At 37.3% G+C, this 26,114-nt stretch overlaps 2 long non-coding RNA genes across 3 annotated transcripts in view; one reads left to right on the forward strand and one right to left on the reverse strand.

The window, feature by feature from the left end:
• The window catches only part of MIR2052HG (MIR2052 host gene), a 158,596-nt gene that overhangs the window by 8,891 nt on the left and 123,591 nt on the right, over nucleotides 1-26,114 (forward strand). For both annotated transcript variants that reach the window (NR_197229.1, NR_033830.1), the window contains exon 2: nucleotides 4,206-4,293. This is a non-coding gene — a long non-coding RNA (MIR2052 host gene). The remainder of the gene's footprint in view (nucleotides 1-4,205; nucleotides 4,294-26,114) is intronic.
• LINC03071 (long intergenic non-protein coding RNA 3071) lies at nucleotides 1,146-24,685 on the reverse strand. The gene is made up of 7 exons (NR_183468.1): nucleotides 24,588-24,685; nucleotides 23,803-23,855; nucleotides 20,154-20,235; nucleotides 16,419-16,534; nucleotides 8,113-8,293; nucleotides 3,807-3,919; nucleotides 1,146-1,393 (listed from the first exon to the last, which is right to left on the reverse strand). It is a non-coding gene; the product is annotated as a long intergenic non-protein coding RNA 3071 (long non-coding RNA).

The raw sequence follows: 26,114 nt of genomic DNA on the forward strand, positions 1-26,114 counted from the left end.
TAGAAATCATGAATAGAAAAATCTCCAAATATTTGAAAATTATAAAGACATTTCTAAGTAAACTGTGTGTCAAGAAAGGAATGTAGAAAATATTACGAACTGAATGAAAATGAAAATACAGTATCAAATTTTGTGAGATGAAGTTAAAACAAAACTTAGTGGAAAATTTATGACACCAACTACCTGTATTAGAAAAGAAGAAAGGTCTCAAGTCAGTAATCTCAGCTTAAGTTTTAAGAAATAAGAAAAAACAAAATAAAATCCAAAGTAAATACTTTTTAATGTTACAGAACATAATAATAAAAACCAGAGCAGAAATTAATGAATGAGAAAACATAAAAGTAATAGAGAAAATTAATAAAAACAAAAGAATTTTTAAGATTAATAAAGTTAATAGGCTTTTTGGCAACCAGTGATAAAAATAAGAGTAAATATGCAAATTACCAGTGTCAGGAATAAGATATGTGACATCACTAAAGAGTTTATTGATATTAAGAGGATAATAACAAATATTGTCTCTTAAAATATGTGAATAAATTTGACTACTTACAAGAAAAGAACAAATACCGTGAAAGATAAAAATTAACAGAGTTTACTGAGGAAGAAATAGATAACCTGAATAGTCCCATATTTAGTAAAATAGTTGAATTGTAGTTAAAAATTTTTTACACAGGAAACTTTAGACCCAGATGCTTCGCTAGGGAATTCTATCAAACATTTAAACAAGAAATAAAGCCAATGCTATACAAGTTCTTCCAGAAAATTATAAAAGAGAAAATATTTTTCAACCAATTATACGATGCCAGCATTACTCAAACACCAAAACCAGACAAAGATATTGCAAAGGAAGAAAATTGCATGCCAATATTCCTCATAAATGTGATACAAACCTTTCTAACAAAATTTTAATTGATCAAAGTTAACAACATATAACAGTGATAATAAGTCAAAACCTTGTATGATTTATTCCAAGAATGCAAAATGAGTTTAACATATAAAGATCAATCAATTTAATATGCCAGATTATTAGACTAAAAAAAGATACTCTCATTTAATGTAATAAATGTATTTTATTTATAATAATAAATAAATAATAATAATAATAAATAATACTTATTCTTAACCTAAAACTCTCAGCTAGGACTAAAAAGAGAGTGCTTCAACCCACTATGAACATATGTGAAAAACCTACAGACAACATAATACTTAATGGTGAAAGAAAATTCTTTCTTCATAAGACCAGGAAAAATGTAAGAATATTTACTCTCATCCTTTGTATTTAACATTATATCGAAACTTCCAGCTAGTGCACTAAAACAAAAATAAATAAATAAATTAAAGATGTTGATATTGGAAAATAGTAGTCCTGTGGGAAATGTATGGCACCAACTACCTGTAATGGAAAAGAAAAAATGTCTGAAATCAATCATCTCAGCTTACATCTGTTCTTTATTTGCAGACAACATAATCATCCAAAAAAAAAATTCTATGGAATCTTCAAAAGATACTAGAATAATGTGTGAATTTAACAAGGTTGCAGGATGCAAGATTAATATACAAAATTTAATTGTGTTTGTATATTCTTGGAATCAATAATTTTAAATTGAGTTAAAATTCAATATCATATACAATAGTGTTCTTACTTATGAAATAGAGAATAATCTTCAAAAGGTATGCAAGACCTGTAAAATACAAACTATACAATATTGCTGAGAAAAAATTTTTAAAACTTATGAAAAGGAGAGTTATGTTCATAGTTTGGAAGATTCAACATTGTTAATATGTCAAGTATCTAAATTAATCTATAAATTTCTCAGCAGTCCTTTTCTTTTTAATAGAAATTGACATGCTCATTCTAAAATTTATGTAGAAATGCCAACCACTGAGAATAGCCAAAAAAACTCTGAAAAAAAAGAGGCAACTTGGAAGACTTACATTTCCTGCCTTCAAAAACCTTTATAAAGCTACAATAATCAAAGCAGTATGATATTGGCATGAGGATAAAATATGATGAGTTCAGAAATATACTCACACATGTACAGTTAATTGATTTTTGACAAGGAACCAAAGGCAATTCAGTGGAGAACAGATAGGTTTTTCAATAATGTTGCTGTAACAATTGAATATCAATAATTCAATTGAATAACAATTGAATAACAACACCCCACTGCCTACCTTACATCATATACAAAAATGAATTCAAAAGAAATTATAGACCAAAAAGTATCAAGCTAAAAATACACAATCTCTAGAAGAAAACATAGGAAATTGGATTAAGTAAAGACTGCTTAGATATAATACCAAAAACATAATTCACAAAATAAAACATTGATAAATTGAACATTATCAAAATGAAGAACAGCTCTTAGAAAGACACTATTAAGAGAGTGAAAGATAAGTGACAGTCTGCTAGAAAATATTTGCAAATCATATATCTGATAAAGGGTTTATACTTTGAACATAAAAATCTTTCAAAACTCAATAATAAAAATAATGTAATATTGGCAAAATATTTGAATAGACGCTACATCAGAAAATATATATAATGGCAAATAAGCACATTAAAACACTAAACATCAATTTTTCATTAGGGAAATGGAAAGTAAAACACCATGAGATACCATTGCACACCTATTACAAATATCTTATATTAAAAACACTGACAACATCAAATGTTGGAGAGGATGAAGAGAAACTGGAACTCTTATATACTGTTGGTGGAAATATAAAGCAGTAAAACTATTTTTTGAAAGAATTTGGCGATTTTTAAAAAAATTACATAAATTACATGCCATTTAATTTGATTAATAGTTGATTTTAAAATGACCCTTCCTAAATGGCCATGTGAATAGTATTTGTGAGCCTTTTGCAAGATGTCTGTTAACATCCCCTGCTGTAATGTAAAAAACACATTTCTTTAATAATCTTGCTTCAGAAAGTCTCTCATAAATAGTACATTTTATTTATTTAGACAAGGAGAATTATATAATACATAATACTTTTCTTTTTTACTTTGTAAGGACACTACGAACAAAATGTAATGTTTCATGATTATAAATCTCTTAAGCTGTGGTTTTCATTTATCTGTTCCCTCAGCTTTATGGCTCCTCATGTAAATTTGCAGAAATCCATCCATTCATCCATCCATACACCACCTATCATGATTGATAGGATGTTCAACTATTTGGAATGCCAGTAGAGGAAATTGTGAAGCAGGTTTACTCTGCACCAGTTGTTTGCCTGACTTGGGTGTGATAGAACACTCACACAAAGTTACATGAACCAAATTTGTTACTTACAGATAGACGGCAAGGGACAACCAAAGCCTGGGATTCAGGGCAAGCTCATCCCCCGAAGCTCAGGAAAGCTACTTAAGGTGAACAGAGTCTTATCTTCAAGTGCTCCACTTGCACCACAGGTGTAAAACGCCTGCCTTGGGCTTTGTACCCCAGTGGCCGCATGACACCTTGGGCAAAAGTGCTGAAGGACACCCTGTTTCTAGGGCCAACTGGAACAGAGCCTGGACTGTTCCAGCTACCTCTTCTTTATCTCACAATGTTCCATTCCCAGCACATTCTACAGGTATCCTTGAGAATTACAAGTGAGAAAGTGGAGAGAATTGGGTTGGTCCACTTCCATTCAGAGTTGGTCCACTTTCATTCAGAGAACTGTCCTGCAGACTTGTTTAGAGGTATCTATTTCAGCATTTCTCATATCTTCACTTATTAGTGTCTGTAGCTCCACCATTTCTATCTAAGCTCACTCTGAGGTAAAAGAGCCAGGATTTTAATAGAGAACTGACATACCTTAGCTTGGGTTGAGAGAATAACTGTAGTTGAGCAGCTAAATCTTCTCCCCTGCTTGCCTTCTGCTTGGACAGAGGTCATGCTCGTTACTAGGTAATTTATATACATGTAATCTGGAAAACCAAAATGCAGTCAAAGCATGAGTTATCATTTGGCTAGCCATAGAAGAAAAGAGGAGTATCCTTCTAATCATCTTTACCTTTAGAAAGTCTGGAAAATGACCATTTGTCTGAATAACTAAACTACTAGTTTTATTAAGTCTTAAAAGTCATTTTATGCTGTAAAAACATATTGCTTTTAATACATTTTAGTTATTTTTCTTTCTTCATGTGAGTGTAGTAAAAGAAGCAGGAAAAATAATCTAATACGTATCTATTAAACAAAAATGTTTTTCTGCAGTTCCCGAGAGATCCCATGATCCAGAGACAAAGGTGGCAGCTTTGGAGCAAGTGGAGAGCCAGAAAAGGATCCAGAACTGGAGTGGAAGGTGGGAAAGATCTTTGAGTGCAGCTGCACTGTGTGGGAAGACAAATATGATAATGGACAAACAGCTGTTTGAATCAGACAGTGAAACCTCACTAAAGGGAGAAAAGGGAGAGCGTTGCTGATGAGAGAGGCCACGGCTACAGTTTTGTGGGTAGAGGTTCAGTTATGAGGGCTAAAATGCTTAGACAGAAATCTCTGGGTTGAGGCTGAAAGAATTGGAGACCGGCAACTACAAATATAGCAAGTGTGTTTCTTCTTGCTCTCAAAATATACTTTTAGCACTTTGGAGTGACTGGTACTATATGAACATCACACAATATTGTAGACAATCTGAGCTTAGTATTCAAGAAGGGTAAGGCATACAATGATGATCAACTATAATATTCTTGATATTCATGATTTTGAAATCAGAACAGCTATACCATTTGCAAAGAGAGAGTCCATGTGTTTTAGGCCAGTGACAATGACTGTGTTTCTTTCATCTGCATGAGGCACTAAACTGAATGGGATGGAGATAAATAGCCTAAGAGGCTTGATGGCAGGGATTCATTTTTTTTTCACCCGAGACAGAGTCTCGCTGTGTCACCAAGGCTGGGGTACAGTGGCAGGATCTTGGCTCACTGCAACTTCCGCCTCCCGGGTTCAAGCAATTCTCCCTGCCTCAGCCTCCCAAGTAGCTGGGATTACAGGCACCCACCACCACGCCCGGCTAATTTTTGTATTTTTTAGTAGAGACGGGGTTTTGCCATGTTGGCCAAGCTGGTCTTGAACTCCAGACCTCACGTGATCCACCCGACTCCGCCTCCCAAAGTGCTGAGATTACCGGCATAAGCTGCCATGCCTGGCCTGCAGGGATTCAATTTTTAAGCCATTATCAGGATTTGTTGATCTGGTTTTGAGGTTTTTTTTAAATATGATGGTCAGATCTAGTCAGAAGCTACTGGCCATGAATTAGGTGTATTTTGGTTATGCATTGAATTTTAGATATTTACATGAATTTAATTGATGGAGACAGTAGTTTTATATATTTAGTTTTCTGAATCTTTATCAGGGACTTTTTCCTGTAATTTGAGAAATCCTAATAAACGATTTCACATCTTCCTCAAAGTAACATAGAGGATTCAAATAGTTGTTCAGATGATTTAAATGTTGTGATTTTACTCAGTTGCCTAACATTTTAAATTATTTCTCTTTCTTCTCCTTTGGCTTGGAAACAGTGGCAACAGTAACTTCTAAGAGTTGAATATTATTGAATCCTTTCTCTGATCCACCTACTAGGTTCAGTATTTTAAAAACACAAATTATATAGTCAGATAATCTTTGTTGGCCTTTTATGCCTATTAAAATATCTGTTAAAAATATTTCCTCTATTTATTTTGATCTTTTTGTCTTTTTTCTCTGCATTCAGAATCATTATCTTCTACCTGTTCTCTAAGACAGTGATTTGATTTTTGACAGTGGCTATCCTGGTCCTTGCTTTTATAATTGATCTATTTGATCTATATTGGTGCTTTTAAATTCTCAACTTATTGTCTCATTCTTTAAAAAATCATATATTTGGGTTCTAGTTTTTCTTGAATTCATATGCTTATTAAATTCTTTTATAACTTGAACTTCTCAAAGGCAAATTGTCTTCTAATCCTTGGGTAGTTTTTCTTTACATTGCTTTCCCCTTATAATATTTTCCTTTACTTGTATTTCTTTTCTTTATTTCTATTCTGATTCCTATTTCTTTTCTTTTTTTCTCTTTCCTTTCCTTTCTTCTCAATTTAAAAAATATATGCTACTTCTTTTAATCTAGCATATTTTAACAATAGGAATTTTTCAGACCAACTTTTTGCTCTGATATAGGGTGGATGAATATTTTTGACACTGTTACCACTAGGGATGACACAGAAAAGACAATTTCATCTTTTTTTTTTTTCACTAGATTGAATGCAGTTTTTCCCCATGAGACAAAATATCCCTGAATTTTCTTTTTAAGTTCCTCTTAAGAAGGTTTCAGAATTCCTCTATAGCTCAAAGCATCAAAGGAAGAACCAATTTTAATTTGACTTTGCTTTAGGTGAATTAACCATCTTCCTAGTCTTTTATTTTCTTTAACGATTTGCTGTCTCTCCCATGCTTCCTCCTTAGAACAGCTGCTCTCTAGCCTACTTCATTGACAGCACCAGCCAAGTGAATAGGTCAGAGAAGAGAGGTAAGGAAGCCAGCTGTGTGGGTTGTACCTCCCTATGGAGCCAGTTAATGACACACGGGGCTCAATCCACCATCTTCTGCTTTTCCCTACAAACTCAAATATTCTCTGAACTTCAGCTATCACCATCCTGGTAATTACACCTACTTTCACAACTCTAGCTCTAATGTCATCCTGAGAGTAGCTCATCTTCACATGTGAGATCCTTTCATAGAATCAAAGATTATTGCAGCCAGAAGCTGAGTCCACTGTGCCTCATCCCCATCTTGAAGATGAGGAAAACAGAGGACTGGCAGAAGGTGGGTACAGAATCCAGCCATGTTCCTTTTAGTCCAGTGTTCTTTCATCTCACTTTACTGTATCCACTCTTCAAACTCAATATTTCAAAATATAATTTACATTTTCCCTGATAACTAGCTCTGCATTTCAGTTTCTCAGTGTGACTGGCAACTCCATTGTCTTGTGTTCTCATCTTCTTTTTTTTTTTATTATACTTTAAGTTCTAGGGTACATGTGCACAACATGCAGGTTTGTTACATATGTATACATGTGCCATGTTGGTGTGCTGCACCCATTAACTCGTCATTTAACATTAGGTATATCCCCTAATACTATCCTTCCCCACTCCCCCCACCCCACAACAGGCCCTGGTGTGTGATGTTCCCCACCCTGTGTCCAAGTGTTATCATTGTTCGATTCTCACCTATGAGTGAGAACATGTGGTGTTTGGTTTTCTGTCCTTGCGATAGTTTGCTCAGAATCATGGTTTCCAGCTTCATCCATGTCCCTACAAAGGACATGAACTCATCATTTTTTTATGGCTGCATAGTATTCCATGGTGTATATGTGCCACATTTTCTTAATCCAGTCTATCATTGATGGACGTTTGGGTTGGTTCCAAGTCTTTGCTATTGTGAATAGTGCTGCAATAAACATATGTGGGCATGTGTCTTTATAGCAGCATGATTTATAATCCTTTGGGTATATACCCAGTAATGGGATGGCTGGGTCAAATGGTATTTCTAGTTGTAGATCCTTGAGGAATTGCCACACTGTCTTCCATAATGGTTGAACTAGTTTACAGTCCCACTAACAGTGTAAAAGTGTTCCTATTTCTCCACATCCTCTCCAGAACCTGTTGTTTCCTGACTTTTTAATGATCGCCATTCTAACTGGTGTGAGATGGTATCTCACTGTGGTTTTGATTTGCATTTCTCTGATGTCCAGTGATGATGAGCATTTTTTTCATGTAAATGCTCATCGTCACTGGCCATCAGAGAAATGCAAATGCTTTGATTCTTCTATATTTTATATATATAATTATTTATCATGTCTGTTAAATTTTATGCTTAATACCATGTCTCACCTTCCTTTCTTTTTAAGTATTACTGTCCCTATACTCTGAGGACGTTATGTTTATATAATTGCAGTATTCTATTTTGCATCCCTGTTTTTGATTTTCATTTCATTCATATAAAAATATAATCTGACAGCAATTGTATACCAGGCACTATGGATATGTGGTGAGATTTCATTGTAAATGAAGGAAGTAAACATACATTAAAGGCTGTAGATAGACTTGTTTTCTCTGCTTCTTTCCCTCGTACTCTGTCTTAAACCTACCTGACTCAGGCTTTTGACCCATCACAGCACCAAAACTGTTCTTGCTCTGTTTACTCTTGATCTGACTTCTGCATGGCTAAATCTAATGGTTAAGAATGAGTCCTCCTCCTATAGACTAGGTGTCATTTAGCAAATGTTTCTGAGGATATGCCACATGCCAGCTCTGTTTCAGGTATTGAGGCTATGAAGGTAAAAGAAAAAAAGATTAAAAAAAAAATCCTGGCCCTTACAAAGTTTACATTCCATGAACATCCTTTGAAAAAGTTGATCATACTCTACTCTCTTATTAAATACTTACTTTCCTCACTATTCCTTTAGATACAACTCTTTAAACATTTTTAATTTTTAATATATAGGAGTACAAGTATGGATTTCTTACATACATATATCATATAGTGGTGAAATCTGAGATTTTAGTGTACCCATCACTCAAATAGTGAGCATTGTACCCAAGAGGTAACTTTTTAATCCTCACTCCCTTCCACCCTTCCAACTTTTGGAGTCTCCAGTATTTATTATTCTGCTCCGTATGTCCATGTGTGCCCATCATTTAGCTCTCATTTATAAGTGAGAACATGCAGTATTTGTTTTTCTGTTCCTGAGTTATTTTACTTAGGATAATGGCCTCAAGTTCCATCCATGCTGCTACAAAAGACATTATTTCATTATTTTTTATGGCTAAGTAGTATTCCATTGGGTGTGTGTGTGTGTGTGTGTGTGTGTGTGTGTATACATACATACATATATGCACACATTTTATATAAAAATGTGGTGTATATACATATATATATGTATATGTGCACATACGTGTATATATCTGTCTCACATTTTAAAAATCCAGTTCTTTGTTGATGGACACTTAGGTTGATTTCATTACTTTGTTATTGTGAATAGTGCTGTGATAAGCATACAAGTGCAGGCATCTTTTTGATATAATTATTTCTTTTCCTTTGAATAGATACCCAGTAGTGAGATTGCTGGATCAAATGGTAGTTCTATTTTTAGTTCTTTGAAAATCTCCATAGTGTTCCACAGAGGTTGTACTAGTTTACATTCCCACCAACAGTGCATAAGCATTCCATTTTCTCCACATCCTTGCCAACATCTATTGTTTTGGACTTTTTAGTAATAGCCATTCTGACTGGTGTAAGATAGTATCTCATTGTGGTTTTGATTTGTATTTCTCTGATGATTAGTGATGGATACAATTCTTGATTCTTCTACCTTTCTGGCTGTTTCTTCTCAGTCTCATTGGCTGCACAAGACTCACCTTCTCAACTTCTAAATGGGGAAGTGCCGTACTATTCAGTCCTTGAACCTTTTCTCTGCTTCTCCAGATGCATCTATTCACCATGTGATGGCCCCCAATTCCATCGCTTTAAGCACTATTTAGAAACTTGCCTCAGGGCTCTCTTTTCTCAAATGCTTCTGATCAGCAGGCACTCTTTGACCACTTGATCAAGATTGAACCTGCTCACCATTTTCCGTCCTCTTGCCCAATTTTATTTTTTAATAGAATTTATCACTATCAGTTTTTACATATCAATTTGCCCATTTATTAATTTTCTCCTCCTATCAGAATAAAAGCTCCATGAGGAAAGGGACATTGTTTTGTTCACTGTTCTATTCCAAGTGCCCCAAGTAACTGGCACATAGTCAGCACTCTGTAAACATTCATTAAATGTATAAATAATGATAATGAGAGCCGGAAGGGAGGGGGCTTATAGTACATTAAGAGTATATTTGATGTGATCCATCACATTAACAGAATGAAGGACAAAAACCATATGATCATCTCAATAGATGCAGAATAAGCATTTGACAAAATTTCACATTATTTCATCATAAAAACTTGCAACAAATTAGGTATAGAAGAAATGTACCAAAACAAAATAAAAGTTGTATATGACAAGCCCACAGATAATATCAACTCAATGGTGAAAAGTTTAAAGATTTTCCTGTGAGATAAGGAACAAGACAAAGATGCGCACTCTCACCACTTCTATTCAACATAGTACTGGAGATTCTAACCAGAGCAATTAGACAAAAGAAAGAAATAACATGCACTCTAACTGGAAATGAAAAAGTTTAATTGTCTCTGTTTGTAGATGACATGCTCTTATATAAAAAAATCCCTAAAGACTTTATACAAAAACTGTTGGAGCTAACAAGGAAATTCAGTAAAGTTTCATTATACAAAGTCAACATACAAAAATCAATAACATTTTTATATGTTAACAATGAACTATTTGAGAAAACAATCCCATTTAGAACAGCTACAAAAAGTACTTAGGAATAAATTTTTTTAAAAAGCTGAAAGATCTGTACACTGCAAATTATAAAACATTTTTGCAAGAAATTGAAGAAGACACAAATAAAAATATATCCTATGTACCTGGATTGGAAGAATTAATATTGTTAAAATATCCATACTACCCAAAGCAATATACAAATAAAATTCAATCCCTATCAAAATTCTGATGACATTTTTTAAAGAAATAAAAAAAAATTCTAAAATTTGTATGGAACCACAAAAGACCTCAATAGCCAAAGCAATCTACAGCAAAAAGAACAGAGCTGGAGGCATCACACTGTCAGATTTTAAAATTTATTACAAAGCTATAGTAATCAAAACAGCATGGTACTGGCAAAAACAGACTCATAGACCAATTATATTTGTCTATTCACACACTGCTATGAAGAAATATCTGAGTAATTTATAAAGGAAAGAGGTTTTATAGACTCATAGTTCTGCATTGCTTGGGAGGCCTCAGGAAACTTACAATCATGGTGGAAGGCAAAGGAGAAGCAGGCACATTCTTCACAGGGTGGCAGGATGGAGTAAGTGCAAGCAGGGGAAATGCCAGACACTTATAAAACCATAAGATCTCGTGAGACTCACTCATTATCACAAGAACAGAATAAGGGAAACAGCCCCTATGATTCAATTACCTCCACCTGGTCCCACCTTGACATGTGGGAATTATGGGGATTACAATTCAAGATGAGATTTGGGTGGGGACACAAAACTTAACTATATCTTTTTGCTCTGGCCCCTCCCAAATCTCATGTCCTCACATTTCACAACATAATCATGCCTTCCAACAGTTGCCCAGAGTCTTAACTCATTCCAACATTAACCCAAAAGTCCAAATCCAAAGTCTCATCTGAGACAGGGCAAGTCCCTTCTGCCTATGAGCCTGTAAAATCAAAAGCAAGTTAGTTACTTCCTAGATACAATGGGGATACAGGTATTGGGTATAGCCATTCCAATGGGAGAAATTAACTAAAACAAAGGGGCTACAGGCCCTGTGCGAGTCTGAAATCCAATAGAGCAGTCATTAAACCTTAAGTTCCAAAATTATCTCCTTTCACTTCATGTCTCACATCTAGGTTATGCTGATGCAAGAGGTGGGTTCCCGTGGTCTTAGGCAGCTCTGCCCCTCTGGCTTCACAGGATACAACCCATCCTGGCTGCTTTCACTGCTGGCATTAAGTGTCTGTGGCTTTTCCAGGTGCATGGTGCAAGCTGTTGGTTGATCTACCATTCTGGGGTCTGGAGAACAGTGGCCTTTTTCTCATAGCTCCTCTAGGCAGTGCCCGCATGGGGACTCTGTGTGGGGTCACCAACCTCACGTTTCCCTTCTGCACTGCCCTCACAGAGGCTCTCCATGAGGGCTCTGCCCCTGCAGGAAACTTCTGTCTGGACATCCAGGCATTTCCCTAGATCCTCTGAAATCTAGGTGGAAGTTCCCAAACCTCAATTCTTGACTTCTGTGCACACACAGGCCCAACACCATGTGTAAGCTGCCAAAGCTTGGAGTTTGCACTCTCTGAAGCAATGGCCTGAGCTGTATGCTGACCCTTTTTAGCCAGGGCTGGAGCTGAAGCAGCTGGGACACAGGGCACCATGTCCTGAGGCTGCACAGAGCAGAGTGGCCTTGGGCTGGGCCCCTGAAACCATTTTTCCCACCTAGGCCTCCTGGCCTGTGATGGGAAGGGCTGCCATGAAGGTCTCTGACCTTTTCCCCATTGTCTTGGTGATTAACATTCCATTCCTCATTACTTATGCAAATTTCTGTGGCAGGCTGGAATTTCTCCCCAGAAAATGAGTTTTTATTTTCTATTGCATGGTCAGGTTGGATATTTTTCAAACTTTTATGCTCTGCTTTCTCTTGAACACTTTGCCACTTAGAAATTTCTTCCACCAAATACTCTAGATCATCTCTTTCAAGTTCAAAGTTCCACAGATCTCTAGGGCAGAAGCAAAATGCCACCATTCTCTTTGCATAGCAAGGGTGACCTTTACTGCAGTTGCCAAAAAGTTCCTCATCTCCATCTGTGATCACCTCAGCCTGGACTTCATTGTCCATATTGCTGTCAGCATTTTGGTCAAAGCCATTCAACAAGTCTCTAGGAAGCTCCAAATCTTCCCACATCTTCCTGTCATCTGAGCCCTCCAAGTCTCTAGGAAGTTCCAAACTTTCCCACATTTTCCTGTCTTCTTCTGAGTCCTCCAAACTGTTCCAATCTGTGCTTGTTACCCAGTTCTAAAGTTGCTTCCACATTTTCACATATCTTTATAGCAGCACTCCACTCTCTGTGGTATCAATTTACTATATTAGTCTGTTCTCACACTGCTATGAAAAAATACCTGAGACTGGGTAATTTTTAAAGGAAAGAGGTTTAATAGACTCACATTTCTGCATTGCTTGGGAGGCCTCAGGAAACTTTCAATAATGGCAGAAGGCAAAGGAGAAGCAGGCACCCTCTTCACAGGGCAGCAGGACAGAGTGAGTGCAAGCAGGGGAAATGCCAGATGCTTATGGGACCATCAGATCTTGTGAGACTCACTCATTAACAGCATGGGGGAAACAGCCACAATGATTCAATTGTGTCCACCTGGTCCCATGCTTGACATGTGGGGATTACAATTCAAGGTGAGATTTGTGTGGGGACACAGAGCCAAACCATGTCACCACCGGAACAGAATGGAGAGCTCAGATTTTTAACAAGGCTGCCAAGACCACGCTGTGGGGAAAGGACAATCTTTTCAGTAAATAGTTTTGGAAAAACTATATACCCACATGCAGAAGAATGAAACTAGACCCTTATCTTACACCATGTACAAAAACCAACTCAGAATGGATTAGAGACTCAAATGTAAGGCCTGTAACTATACAATTACTAAAAGAAATCATAGGTTAAAAGCTCTTTGACACTGGTCTGGGTAATGATTTTTTTTGGGTATGACCCCAAGAGTACAGGCAGCAAAAGCAGAAAGAGACAAACGGGATTATATCAATCCAAAAAGCACCTGCACCGCAAAGAAAGCAATCAACAGAGTGAAGAGATGACCTATGGAATGGGAAGAAATATTTGCAAGCTATGTATATAATAAGGGACTGATATCTAAAACATATGAAGAACTCAGATAACTTAAAGTCAAGAAAATAAATAATCCATTTAAAGAATGGGCAAAGATTCTGAACAGACATTTTCGAAAAGGTAAATGAAACAACAGGTATATAAATGGTCAACATGTATATGAAAAAAAATGTTGGCTGGGTGTGGTGGCTCATGCCTGTAATCCCAGCATTTTGAGAGGCTGAGGCAGGTGGATAGCTTGAGCTCAGGAGTTCCAGACCAGCCTGGCCAACATGGCAAAACCCTGTTTTTACTAAAAATACAAAAATTAGCTGAGTGTGGTGGCATGCTCCTGCAGTCCCTGCTACTTGGGAGGCTGAGGCATGAGAATTGCTTGTACCTGGGAGATGAAGGTTGCAGTGAGACAAGATCTCATCACTGCACTCCAGCCTAGGCCACAGAGTGAGACCCTGTCTCAAAAAATTAGAAAAAAAATTTTAAAAAGAAAAGACGAAAAAAGAAAAAAATGCTCAACATCACTAATCATCAGCCATAATGAGGTATCACCTTACCTATCAGAAATGGCTATTATTAAAAAGAGAAACAATAACAAATATTGGTGAGCATGCGGGGAAAAAACGAGGCACACTGTTGGTGGAAATGTAAGTTAGTACAGTACAGTCATTATGAAAACCACCGAGAGGTTCCTCAAAAACTTAAAAATAGAATTCTGTCATTTGCAACAATATGGATGAACCTGGAGAGCATTACCTTAAGTGAAATAAGCCAGGCACAGAAAGATAAATACCACATGATCTCACTTATAAGGGTCACAGTAGCAGAAAGTAGTGGTTACAAGGAGACTGAGGGCAGGGTATTGGGTAGATGTTGGTCAAAGAACACAAATTTCAGTAAGACAGGAAGAATAAGTTCAAGAGATCTGTTGTTCACCATGGTAAGTATATTTAACAGCAACCTAGTGTATATCTGAAAATTTGTAAAAGAGTAGATTTTAGTGTTCTCATCACAAAAAAGATAAGAATGGTAGGTGATTGTTAGGTTAATTAGCGTGATTTAGCCATTCCACAATATATACATACATTAAAACATTATGCTGTACCACATAAATATATATCATTTTTATTTGTCAGTTTAATAAAATTGAAAGCTCAGAGAAATTTCCTTAGGTGGGGGTGACAATTGGGGACATTTTACACGGAGGGAACATGTGCTAAGGCCCTGGGGCAAGAAGGAGAACATGCAGTCAATGTAACAGAAGATGTACTCATGTCACTGAAGTGTACACAGTGTCGGGGAGAAAAGTAGAAAAGGAGACTGAGCAGATAGGCAGGAACGTCAACTGTTCAGAACTTAAAGATCATGATAAAATGTGTTTTTTTAATTTTAAATTTTATTCTAAAATAAATACAATGTCATTATTAAAAAGGTCTTTTAGGACTTTTTAAATGGCACATCTTTCAGTGGAGTCAGGTACTAACATAAAACTTGTTTTTTCTCTCTATGACTGTGGTCAGCATACTCTGAACACGCTAAGTAACCAAAGACTTGAGAAGGCTAGGTGTGTATTCAGTATGACAAAGATGCGAAAAGAAACAAACTGGGTCTGTGATTCATTTCTTCTGGATCTCAGAATAGAATTCTTCATGTTAGGTCTTTATCTCAATTGCTACATGGCTTGATGATCTGTATATAAGGGATATTGAACATTGATTAGGCCAGTGAAAGAGAAGTCTTGTTAAAGGTTGCCAGGGTGAACAAAGTTAAAAAGCTAAAATTTTTAATCATGAAATTAGAAAGGTACTTTTTCTTACCCATCTTGGAAGCAGTGGAGCCAAGCAGTTATATTCCCTTTTACATTTGGCATTCTGGATGTAGTACCTTTCCAAAAGCTATTTATGGCATGACCAAAAAGAGCCAGCTTGTAATATTTTAGTTTTACCAAGAGAACTAATATATGTTTTAGTTTCAGCAAAGATAGAAATCATGGAGATTTTGGTCCAACTGATTTTCCATTTTTTTCCGGGAACAATTAGCCACAAACTGTTGTATAGCTTTTAGGGCACCACCCAAGGGCCAAGTGATTCTCTTCAAATTGAAAGCATATCATTCTTTTCCACATCACTGGTACCACAGCCAAGTTTCTGGGCTTATGTCACTTTGTCTAAAGTTCCAAGGGGGTTGATTTCACTTCAAACATATTCTTGATCTTTCTTCTGGGCAACCAGTGTGGTTTGATCAGATTGACTTTCTGTAAATACACTGGAGAATTTTTGTGGAACCTGTCTGTTATTGAAATGAAGCATTTGCTTATAATCATGTTCTCATATCTTTCAGTACACAACTGGCTCTTCCCTTAGTTGCTGTTGTTTTTAAATCCAGATTCCCAACTATCTCCTACCTGACATTCTGTGAGACAGTAATTTTCTGGAGTTTGCATACTTGCCATGTATTGAAAAGCAGTATTTATCCATTGACAAAAATGCTTGTAAATGCATTTGATCAACCTGCTGAAATTTCGATTTTTAGAGTCATTTTAATATGGCATTTTCCCTTAAAATTTTCAGGCCTCCTGGCACTTGTGCATTTATTTGTATTTGTTTATGTATTCCTAACACTTAAATACTTTGAGGTGTGTTCTTTCTGATCATACCTGCCTGTGGAATTCTGTATAGTTTTCTCACTCCGTCTGTAAAATAATTCAACCAGAAATGCAAAGGAAGGAGGAAATATGATTCTCTTTTTTGAGATTTAGCTGCGAAGGAGTTAAGGAAGAAGATCATGGAAAGTTGGACAGAGCACAGATGAGTACAGTAAAGGATGAAAACCCGTATTCACAAACCATATGGATCCAGGAGTAAAAATTGTGATTATTATTATTATTTTGGCTCTTGTAACCTGCTGTTATGGAACCTGAATACCTTTTTTTTTTGAGACAGGGTCTTGCTCTGTTGCTCAGGTTGGAGTTTAGCGGTGTGATCACAGCTCACTGCAGTCTCAGATTCCTGGGCTCAAGTGGTCCTCCTGACTCAGCCTCCTAAATAGCAAGGACTACAGGCATACATCACCATGCCATGTTAATTTTTTTAACTTTTATTTTGTAGAGACAGAGTCTCGCTATGTTGCCCAGGCTTGTCTTGAACTCCTGCCTTCAAGCAATCCTCCCACCTCAGCCTCTCAAAGTGCTGGCATTACAGGTATGAGCCACAGCACCCAGCCGTGAATACCTTTTATGAAGTGCACAAAAATGATAGTATTTGTAGAGCACACTGAGGCAAGCTATGGAAAAGATTTGAAGGCATTTATATAGTATTTGGTGACATATAATTATAAAAACTAAAATGTAAAATTTTAAATGTAGATTTTACCAAAATGTAGATTTTGATAAAACAGCACAAATTTTGAAGTACAAATTTTGAAGAGCTTGCTTCTGTTTCTATTTTAGAGAGTTACACAAAATTTCTATTTCAGTGATTATCTGTCCAAAATTCCAATAGATGCCATTATCAAGAAATTGTTTACCCAAATAGTTAATAAAGTTAAAGAATATTCTTACAATCATTTAAAGACTTTGACAATTGAAATTATATTTTGTATTTTGTTATAATTTTTCCCCTTTCATTGACAAATGTAATATTAAAGATTCTTGCAATAATATAAGTTGATTTTGGATTCCAATTTGCCTTTCTCACATCAAACATTTCAAGTTGATAAAATTTTTGAACAATAATCTGTAATTATTATGCATACATTATAAGAGCAGTCACCCTACAGCAATCTTGGATGCCTTTAAATGGTAAATTAGCCAAAATGCAAAGATGAATATTTGGGAACATCACTTATAACATTAATTACAGAAGCCCCAAAGAGGCTCCTTTCTTCCCCCACCCTCCACACTAGCACTCCCTGGACACCTGAAACAGGACCGTCTCCAGCAGCCCTCTCTACAATGCAGCACTGGACAACAGCTGTTGAAGTGGGTGCCCCGGGAGAACAGCACCTCCTTGGCTCACTCAGAGCAGAGCAGCAAGTGCTGGGTTCTCCTCCCTTTTTGCTGCCAGCAATTATCACTGGATACCTCTTTAGAGCCACTTCTCCTGGGGTGACCTCCTAGGATCTTCAAATCAGGCTGCTGGTCATAAAAAATATTTTGCCTCATTTCCTATACCCCTAGGTCCTGGCTTGGCCACTAAGGGCTGAGTTGATAACTTCCTTTCAGAAATTTGTAGTTTATTTCCATTAGTGTGCTAAAGTACAGGGATTGGGCCATTTCTTTCTTATAACTAGTAGTACCTTCTCTGTGGATGGAAGTAAGAGGGCTCCTAGGCAAGGTGCCTGCAAAGTTATGCCAGTTTCTTTGAGAATATAGAGAATATTCTCAGGATATAGAATGGAAAATTGAAGTCAGATCTAGGACAAAAATTCCAGGACGTAAGATTGAATTTCAGGGCTCTAAGCAACAAGATGCTTCATCTTCTATATGCCGTGAATACTACCATTCTCTACCAGTAATAGAAAAGACATTGTCAGCATCTGCACCCATCTCTTTCTGTATTTTTTGAGTTATCTGGCATTTCCATATTTTGCTGACAGGCCAAGGTGAAAGTCCCCATCGTTTCATACCTGGACATCCCTACATTGTAACTCTGCATGCTCCTCCATTCCCCAGTACGTTGTCTACACTGCAGCCAGACTGACCTTTTACAAATGCAGACCAGATTATAACACAGGCTGCTGAAAACCTTTCATATCTTACTATTTTTCTTAGGAAAAAGAACAGAAATCCTTAATATGGCTTTAAAGTTTTTATGTTTTATTTTCTGCTTAATTCTCCAGCCTTAAAATATTCTACTCTCCTCTGGCTGGGCAGCCATGGTGGCTTCTGTCATGTCCTTTAACATGGCCTGTACCCTTCTTGGCTCTCACCCTGCCCACAGTCTCCAACACATATTCACCTTTCAGAGCTCAGAACATAGGCCATCTAGAAAAATCCTCAGTTGAGTCAGGTTCTGCTGTTTTATATTTTCAAGACATTATATACCTTTCCTTCAGGACACATTACAGTTTATAATCATACATTCATAAGTACCATCATTTGTTTAATCTCTCCCACTCCCTACTGTAAGCTGCATGAGAGCAAGACATTTGCCTTTTTTTGTTATTTATTCTAGATTGAGAACTGACACTTAGTAAGCACATGACCAATGGCTGATGAGTGTTGCTGAATATCTGAAAATATGGGCTCATAAAAATTCTACCAAACCCAAATCATTATTTGAATAATTTGGATACTGTAGAAGCATTCTGAGAAGAAATAATGCCAGTAGCATGAAATATACTTAATGCCTATTTGAAAAATCTTCAGGCAACACTTTCCTATTTTTGGTTTAGATTTTTTAAGGGAAAATTAAAGCTATTACTTAAGTAATTCAGATCACGGATTTTTTTAAAAAGTGCCAAATTCCACTTTGATGTGAGATTGATAATGACAGGTAGGAGTAAAGTGAATTTGTTCTATATGACCCGAATAATTGTGTCAGTTATCCATTTAACATGTGGTTGTCCATGTAATGGTGTGTTGGTGTGTTGGTTGCTTTACACATGCCTGAATATTTAAGGAATCCTCCAGGGTGTCTGAATGTAATTAAAGTATGACATAAGCATTTTAAAAAAATGAAATGATTAAATCTCTACTTTCTCAATGACCTCTTCCATGTTAACAAGATTACAATTAGGGATGTGGAGGATCTAAAGGGCCTTTAAGTTGAAATCTATCAAGCTTAGTAGCCATGTAGCCTGGCTGACGGGCTGAGTTGATTGTTGGCTTAAGTTGAACATGGCATAAGGATTGTGCTCTCCTTTTCCATAGTGCTGGGGTTTTGGAGGACTTTGGTGCACTGATGCCTTCTGATTGCCTTGTTCTGCTTCCTGTCATTGTTAACATGGGCACGAGGAAGAGAGAGTAACTCATATTTGAATTAAAGACCAGTTCAAAATTAGAACAGATACCTATTACAAAAGATATGGCCTTGGGGATTGGTGAGAGATGCAGAGATGAGGGAAGCATAATACCAAAGGAAACGAAGCATCTGGAGAACCCAGGAACTCTTTGGACAAAAGTCTTTGTATGAAAGCAGAAACTAAACATTCGTTCAAGGGCTTGGATGGTCCAAAGAAATAAAACATAACTACCTCGAGAAATGAGAGGAAGAAAAAAATGTGATAATCTCTAAGTCCAGGTTAAAATATCAAACTATGTTCGTGTGGCTCAGATGAACGTTGGAGATGAAAAATATTTTGTCAGAAGCCGATAGATGTGGAAGGTTGTGGTGGTGGTGAGCTTCCTTTTTCAGCCTAGCTCCTTGTTCAGCTAATTCAGTAAAAACTGCTTGGGGCAAAGCCTAATTGGCAAACCGGAAAATTGGGCATTTTGAGGGCGACTTCTGATTAGTCTGGATCTCCACAATTCAGGCTCTAAAGTACTTAGAAGGTGTTTTTTAATTCTGAGTGATGATCAAAGGTTACCAACTGTATGAGAATTGAAGTTTACTTTCTAGGAGTTCAGTAGTAGGATAAAGAAGGTGCTTAATAGAGTTGCAGTTAGAGAAATATTAGAAGGTATAATTCAAGAGACAATGAAATTGTGTAAGTCTGACCTTTGGTGTTGATTCTTCTCTGAAAATGGTTGCAATCAAAAACAGCAAAGAAGACTGTGGTGGCCCAGGAAGCAGAAAATTGCTGGAAAAAGAAAAAAAAAATTGGTATCTTGTTTGATGGCATAGACAGGAGCTCCATGGTTTTCCAGTAGTCTGATGGGAGAGAGCATTTTACTTGAAAAAAATTGTGAAGGCTTTTTAAAGGAAAATCCCCCTCCAGTTCACTGTTTTATTGAACGAGGACTTTTTGAGTTCCTCTTATGTCAGCCAGTGTGTTGGTTGCTTTCACACAGATTTGCTCATGAAACTAATTTACTGCCTAGCATACTCTTTCATTAAAATATCACATAAACGTTTTTAACAAGTTTAAGTTTTTGGCAAGCAACTTATTTGATGACAGAGGCTCTATGCTGTTAGGCCACGGTAAACTGTTAAATATATTAAATGAGCACTTTCATAGCAGTTTACTCATTCCTTTATTCCCTGACTCAGCAAATATTTATTGAAGCCAAACGTTAAGAGCCAGGAAGTATTTTTGACATTAGAACTTTCAAAGTGATTGAAACAAGCAGAGAGGGGCACTTAGCCAGGTTGCAGATAATTACTTTCAGGATGGTTTTCTACAGTAGGTGATGCCTAGGGTGGGGGAGTGTTGGAAGTGGTCTAGGAGGATGGAAGAGTAAAAGGAAGGTATGAAAAGAGGAAACAGCAAGGGGCCAGCCTTTTGCATTCCAGTATAGTGTTAGTCATAGGCTTCAGGGCTCTCCTTGAGAGCATAGGTACTTAACTTTCAGAGAGCTTACTCCTGTCAGCTGAGGGCAATTCTTTGGAGAAGGGGAGCTACTGGAAGCCTTTTGCAGCCAACACTCACAGAAGCTGGGGGTGGTGCATTGGCCCAGTACAAGGTATCTGAGTGGTGCACCAAAACAGCGTTGGCCAACCACAAGAGTGACTGGGAGATGAATAATAAATATATCAATGGTCACTCCTCTTTGACAAAGCTTGAATAGGGATGTTTCCCCAGCAACATCCTTAGCCCTGTGCTCACAACTGTTATTTCTCTCTAAGCAAAGTCCACTCTCCTCTGCTGCAACTCAGCACCACCTTCTGATGTCCTCATGACTCCCTCACCCATGCATCCAGCCAGGCTTTCTCCAAATAAATGTTTGTTGAATGGATAAATATACTAGGAATTCTCTGACTGAAGAAGGAGAAAACATAATTACAGGCACAGAAAAGAGTTGTTCGAAGGCATGTTCAAAAGCTAGGACAATGAATTTATGTCATAGTGGAAGTTCAGGTCTGTTCAGAATGAAAAACAAGTGAAAATGTGCTGGTTGTATCTGATAATAATGCTAAACACATTTTTTTTCCTAAATCAAAACAGTTATTTTTGTTCAGCTCAAAATAGACTCCCAAGAATACTCCCCTCCTTACCCATTGTTTCCAAGAGAGAAAATCTGACATATTTAATCAATGGACTGAAAATGAAGTTTCCCTCTTCTCTCCCAGGCAGTGGGCTGCTGCTCTTTCTGGATATTGGGGCAAGAGACAAGTCAGGCTTGGAAGGGTGTCCTAATATTTGCAAATGTCCATTTTTCTGTCCAAGCACAGAGAAGGTAAAGAGCCAAGAGGAAATGGTTAAGAGGGCTATCTTGGCAAGCCTTTTACTCCAGAAAGAGGAAAGAATCTTCAGAAAAAGGACAAAAGTGCAAAAAGATTTCTCTGAAAAAAAAAAAAAAAAGAAAAAAGGGCAATCCAGCTTAAAAAACTTTGATGATAAGGAACTCTCTAGGGATAGATAGCTAGCAAAAAACATTCGACTGAGCTTCAGAAACAAGTTCTCTGGAAACTGAAGGACAAAACACTGGCTGGACATTCCTGGCAGTGAGCTACGGATGGCATAACATAGCAACTACATCTCCTTAGCCATTTGTTCTAGTTTGCTCTACATTAACAATTCACAACAAGAAGAGTGGAAAGTGTTAAGGAGCTACCATTTAGTGCCTCTGACACCTCAGCTACTATGCAAGTTGTTTCCTGTAGCCTACTTCATTTGATCCTCAGACTGACTTGCTATCTTCTTTGTAAAAATGAGGAAACGAGAGCTCAGAGATTCAATAATTTGCCCAGCTTCATATATTTATTGAGTGGCATGTGCTCTCATCTATGCTTAAATGTAATTATGTGTACTTAAAGGCAAATATCGTTCTCCATTTTCCACATATCCAAGATTTTAGGGATGATAGGGTTTCTCTGAGTTATGGTTGGTAATAAAAAAGAAACTTTTTCGTATTAGAGTAGTTTGAGGATAGAGCAATTATCATGTAAGGTATACTGCTCAGAGTCTATGCCCACCTCATTCAGGCCACTCTAACAATAAACACAGGCCTTTTGGCCTGGCGGGCTAGATAGTCCCTGTGACAGCCAGACTCCTCATTTGGTTATCTGTGGAGTAGGAGGGAAATTAAATATACATCTGCATCTTTTCCAACAACAAATCTTAAGAGATTATTGCTAGTTATAGCAGCAATGGTTTCTGGTATAGAAGAATAAATAGAAAACAATGTTTGGTGTATTTGAATAATTAGTTCTATCCTTTTTTCTGAAAGCTTTGAGAGTTACTTGATTTGTTTTTTATTCTTTTGACTTGAAATTGAGAGGCATATTTCTACTTTTTTGATTCTTAAACATTTAAGATTCTTCTACCTTTTATGACATAGAGGTTTAATATAATTACCTAATCATATATTTACCTGTTTAAGGTACTTCAACAGCTGTTGATGTGATGGTTTCTGTGAATTGGTAGAAAGATTTTGGACCAGTAGTAATAACTTCTCAAAAACCCTCTGTCTTAGTTTGGGCTGCTATAACAAAAATGCCTTAGACTGGGTAATTTATCAATGACAGAAATTTATTTCCTGTATTTTTGGAGGATGGGGAGTCCAAGGTCAAGGCACCAGCAGATTCAGTGTCTGGTGAGGACTTGCTGTGCTTCAGAGATGGTGCCTACTTGCTGCATCCTCACATGGCAGAAGGGGCAAATGCTGTGTCTTCACATGGTGAAAAGGACAAACATGCTCCCTTCACCTTCTTTTATATGGGCACAAATCTCATTCATGAGGCCCTCATGATTTAATAATTTCCCCAAAGATCCCACCTCTTAACACTATTGCATTAAGGGTTCAGTTTCAACATATAAATTTGGAGGGACACAAACATTTAGACCATAGCAGCCTCCTTATTTTACTTAGGAGTATATCAAGCATACTCAGCAAGAGAAGCTGAAGAGGATGAGAGCCCTCTAGCTTAGACATCACAACACCTCTATGAGGCCATTTTTCCACTCATTGCTCCTTTGCAGGCGATCCTTATGATCTGGGCATCCCTCCCCTTGAGCTGACTGTGGCTGTCGGAGGACGTATTGATAGTGGCTTCTCCTGGACCACAGCATGACTGCACAGGTTTCTCCAAGACTCTCGCCAGGGAGATCCAGAGGAGCAAGTTTGGTCTCAGGGTGCCACCAGCAGGATGTGTGGCCACCAGAGCCTGCGTTTGTGATTGGGGCTTATTATCCTATAGTGGCCCCGCAGTTTCTTTCAGGGGAGAGCCTGCTTGGCCCGTGTCTCTCCCTGAGTGCTATACTTACCTCTCATCAGCTCATTTATTTTCCAAATCTTCTCTGAGGTGCTGTTATCTTACCTAGGGATTGAAAAAAAAACTTACTTAGGGAGAAAAAAGTTATATTAATTCTGGAAATAAAAGCATTTTAAACTTCAGGCTTAAAAATTATAATTTGCTGCATATTTGAAAGTAAAACACATACAACATCTAAATGTAAATATATTTGGTATGACTTTAATGTTATCCTTCACCAATATTCTGTATGTAATTCTGAATATTTAGGTTGCCAGTGCTAGCCTTTCCCCATTTCCCTGGGTGAGATAATTATCATGGGAACTGGAAGAAATATTATACATGGCTCTTTTCTCTGAAGACAAACTTCTTATCTTGGCATAATCAGCTCGTGTTGATCGGACCCCTACCTCACTGTTTTTATAATAGTCTCTGTTTTATGATATAGCCAATGACTCCCAGGCTGTCTCTGTTTTCTGGCTCTCATCTCACCACTCCTCACTAGTCTGGTTCAACCTTCAGGACTCAACTTTGATAATTCCTCTCCCATGACTATATGATATATCCTACTCTTTTATTTGTTTGTTTGTTTGTTTGTTTTGAGACAGGGTCTTGCTTTGTTGCCCAGACTGTAGTACAGTGGCTTGATCATGGCTCACTGCAGCCTCAACCTCCCAAGCTCAAGCAGTCCTCCCACCTCAGTTTTCTGAGTAGCTGGGACCACAGGCATGTGCCACCACCCCTGGCTAATGGTTTTCTTTTTTGTTTTTTTGTAGAGACAGGGTCTCTTCATATTACCCAGGATGGTCTTGAACTCCTGGGTTCCAGCGATCTTCCTACCTCAGCCTCCCAAAGTGCTGGGATTATATGTGTGAACCCTTTCCAGCACACATCCCACTCTTAATTCCTCATTAGGTGCTTCTAGTGTACGTTACTCTCCATTGTGACACCCCTGGTGGTAGTTCTTAGGCATTATGACTTGTCAGGCACAAGTAAGAAAAAGTCAGCACTCTGGTACCAGGTACTCACAAGCTACTTTTGTTGTTGCTGTTGTTCTGGCTTATTCCCATTCCCTAATCACAAGGCTCCTCCTCAGAATGCCATCTTACCTTGCTAAATGACGGCAGAGATTGATTTCTAGCATTGTCATGTCACTTGCATGAGTTGTACTTGTTATGCGTTTCCTAGGCTCAATGTACTACTAGTTCTGTTACATCTGTTTAGGTATTTGTTTGCATGTGTACTGTTCATTGGGGCTGCACTCAGCATTGATGCTGAGTACGCTAAAGATAGTAACTTAGTTCTAGGCTTATATTGTTGATTGTCCTGATAGATGTATTGGTATGCAATTGGCTGGTTATAAAGACATTCAGAGATGTAACTATGAGCCTTTGACTACTACAAGGATGAAGAACATAATGGAGATATAATGCTCTGTAAACTTAAGAATGGTTTGTACATTTCTAAGTTGGTTAATGCAGTCTTTCATTGGCTTATTCAACAATCACTGGGCACATTAGATGTACCGAGCCTCTTTTAAGAGGGAGAATGAAAGTTAAATTAATAGTTTCTTTCCTCAAATATCTGGGAGCCTAATGGAGGAGGAGGAGGACATTAAGTTATTTCAGTAAGGTGGAGAGGCTTGATTCTCATTTTACTATCTATTCTAACACTTGTAGAAAGCATGCTTGCTCTTCAGATTTAGGCTTCCTGAAATGTAGGGAGGGCATGCTATTGGAGAATTCAGGAACTAGCAATACTTAGAACAGGCATTCAGGAAAGAGATTTCAGTTTAGGTTGGAGAAAGGGATTGAAAAGACTTGCCAGTTCCCAGAATTAGAAAGACCAGATTACCAGTGTATTAGTAAGCTATTAATTGAGGCAGAGACAACAAGGCAGAGGTTTACATAGACAACCTATGCCCAAATAGTCGGGCCAAAGGCAGGAGAAACTTGTTGCTGACATCATGTAGTATTTGACAGATTATAACCCGTCACCTGTATCTTTACTTATAAGCTGTCATAATTTAGAACTCTTGCAAAATAATTTCTTAATACATTCTTAATACATTTTCACCTTAAATTTTTTTTTGAGTTTTACTATCGTTTTCAAGTAGCAGCAGCAATTATTGTAATATTTACTCAGTGCTTAATCTTGGGATGAGTCCCCTTGGGGACTTATATGGCTTAATATAGTCAAAATTACACTTTTGTTACCATGAGTGAGTAAAGACATTATCTTTAAGGAAGCAACATCATGTAATCTGTTAATACACTGCTCTTATTCAATTTATAAGACCACTGTATACAATCAGGAGACATCTAC

The sequence above is a fragment of the Homo sapiens genome, chromosome 8 (assembly GCF_000001405.40).
Source record: "Homo sapiens chromosome 8, GRCh38.p14 Primary Assembly".
Classification (NCBI taxonomy): domain Eukaryota; kingdom Metazoa; phylum Chordata; class Mammalia; order Primates; family Hominidae; genus Homo; species Homo sapiens.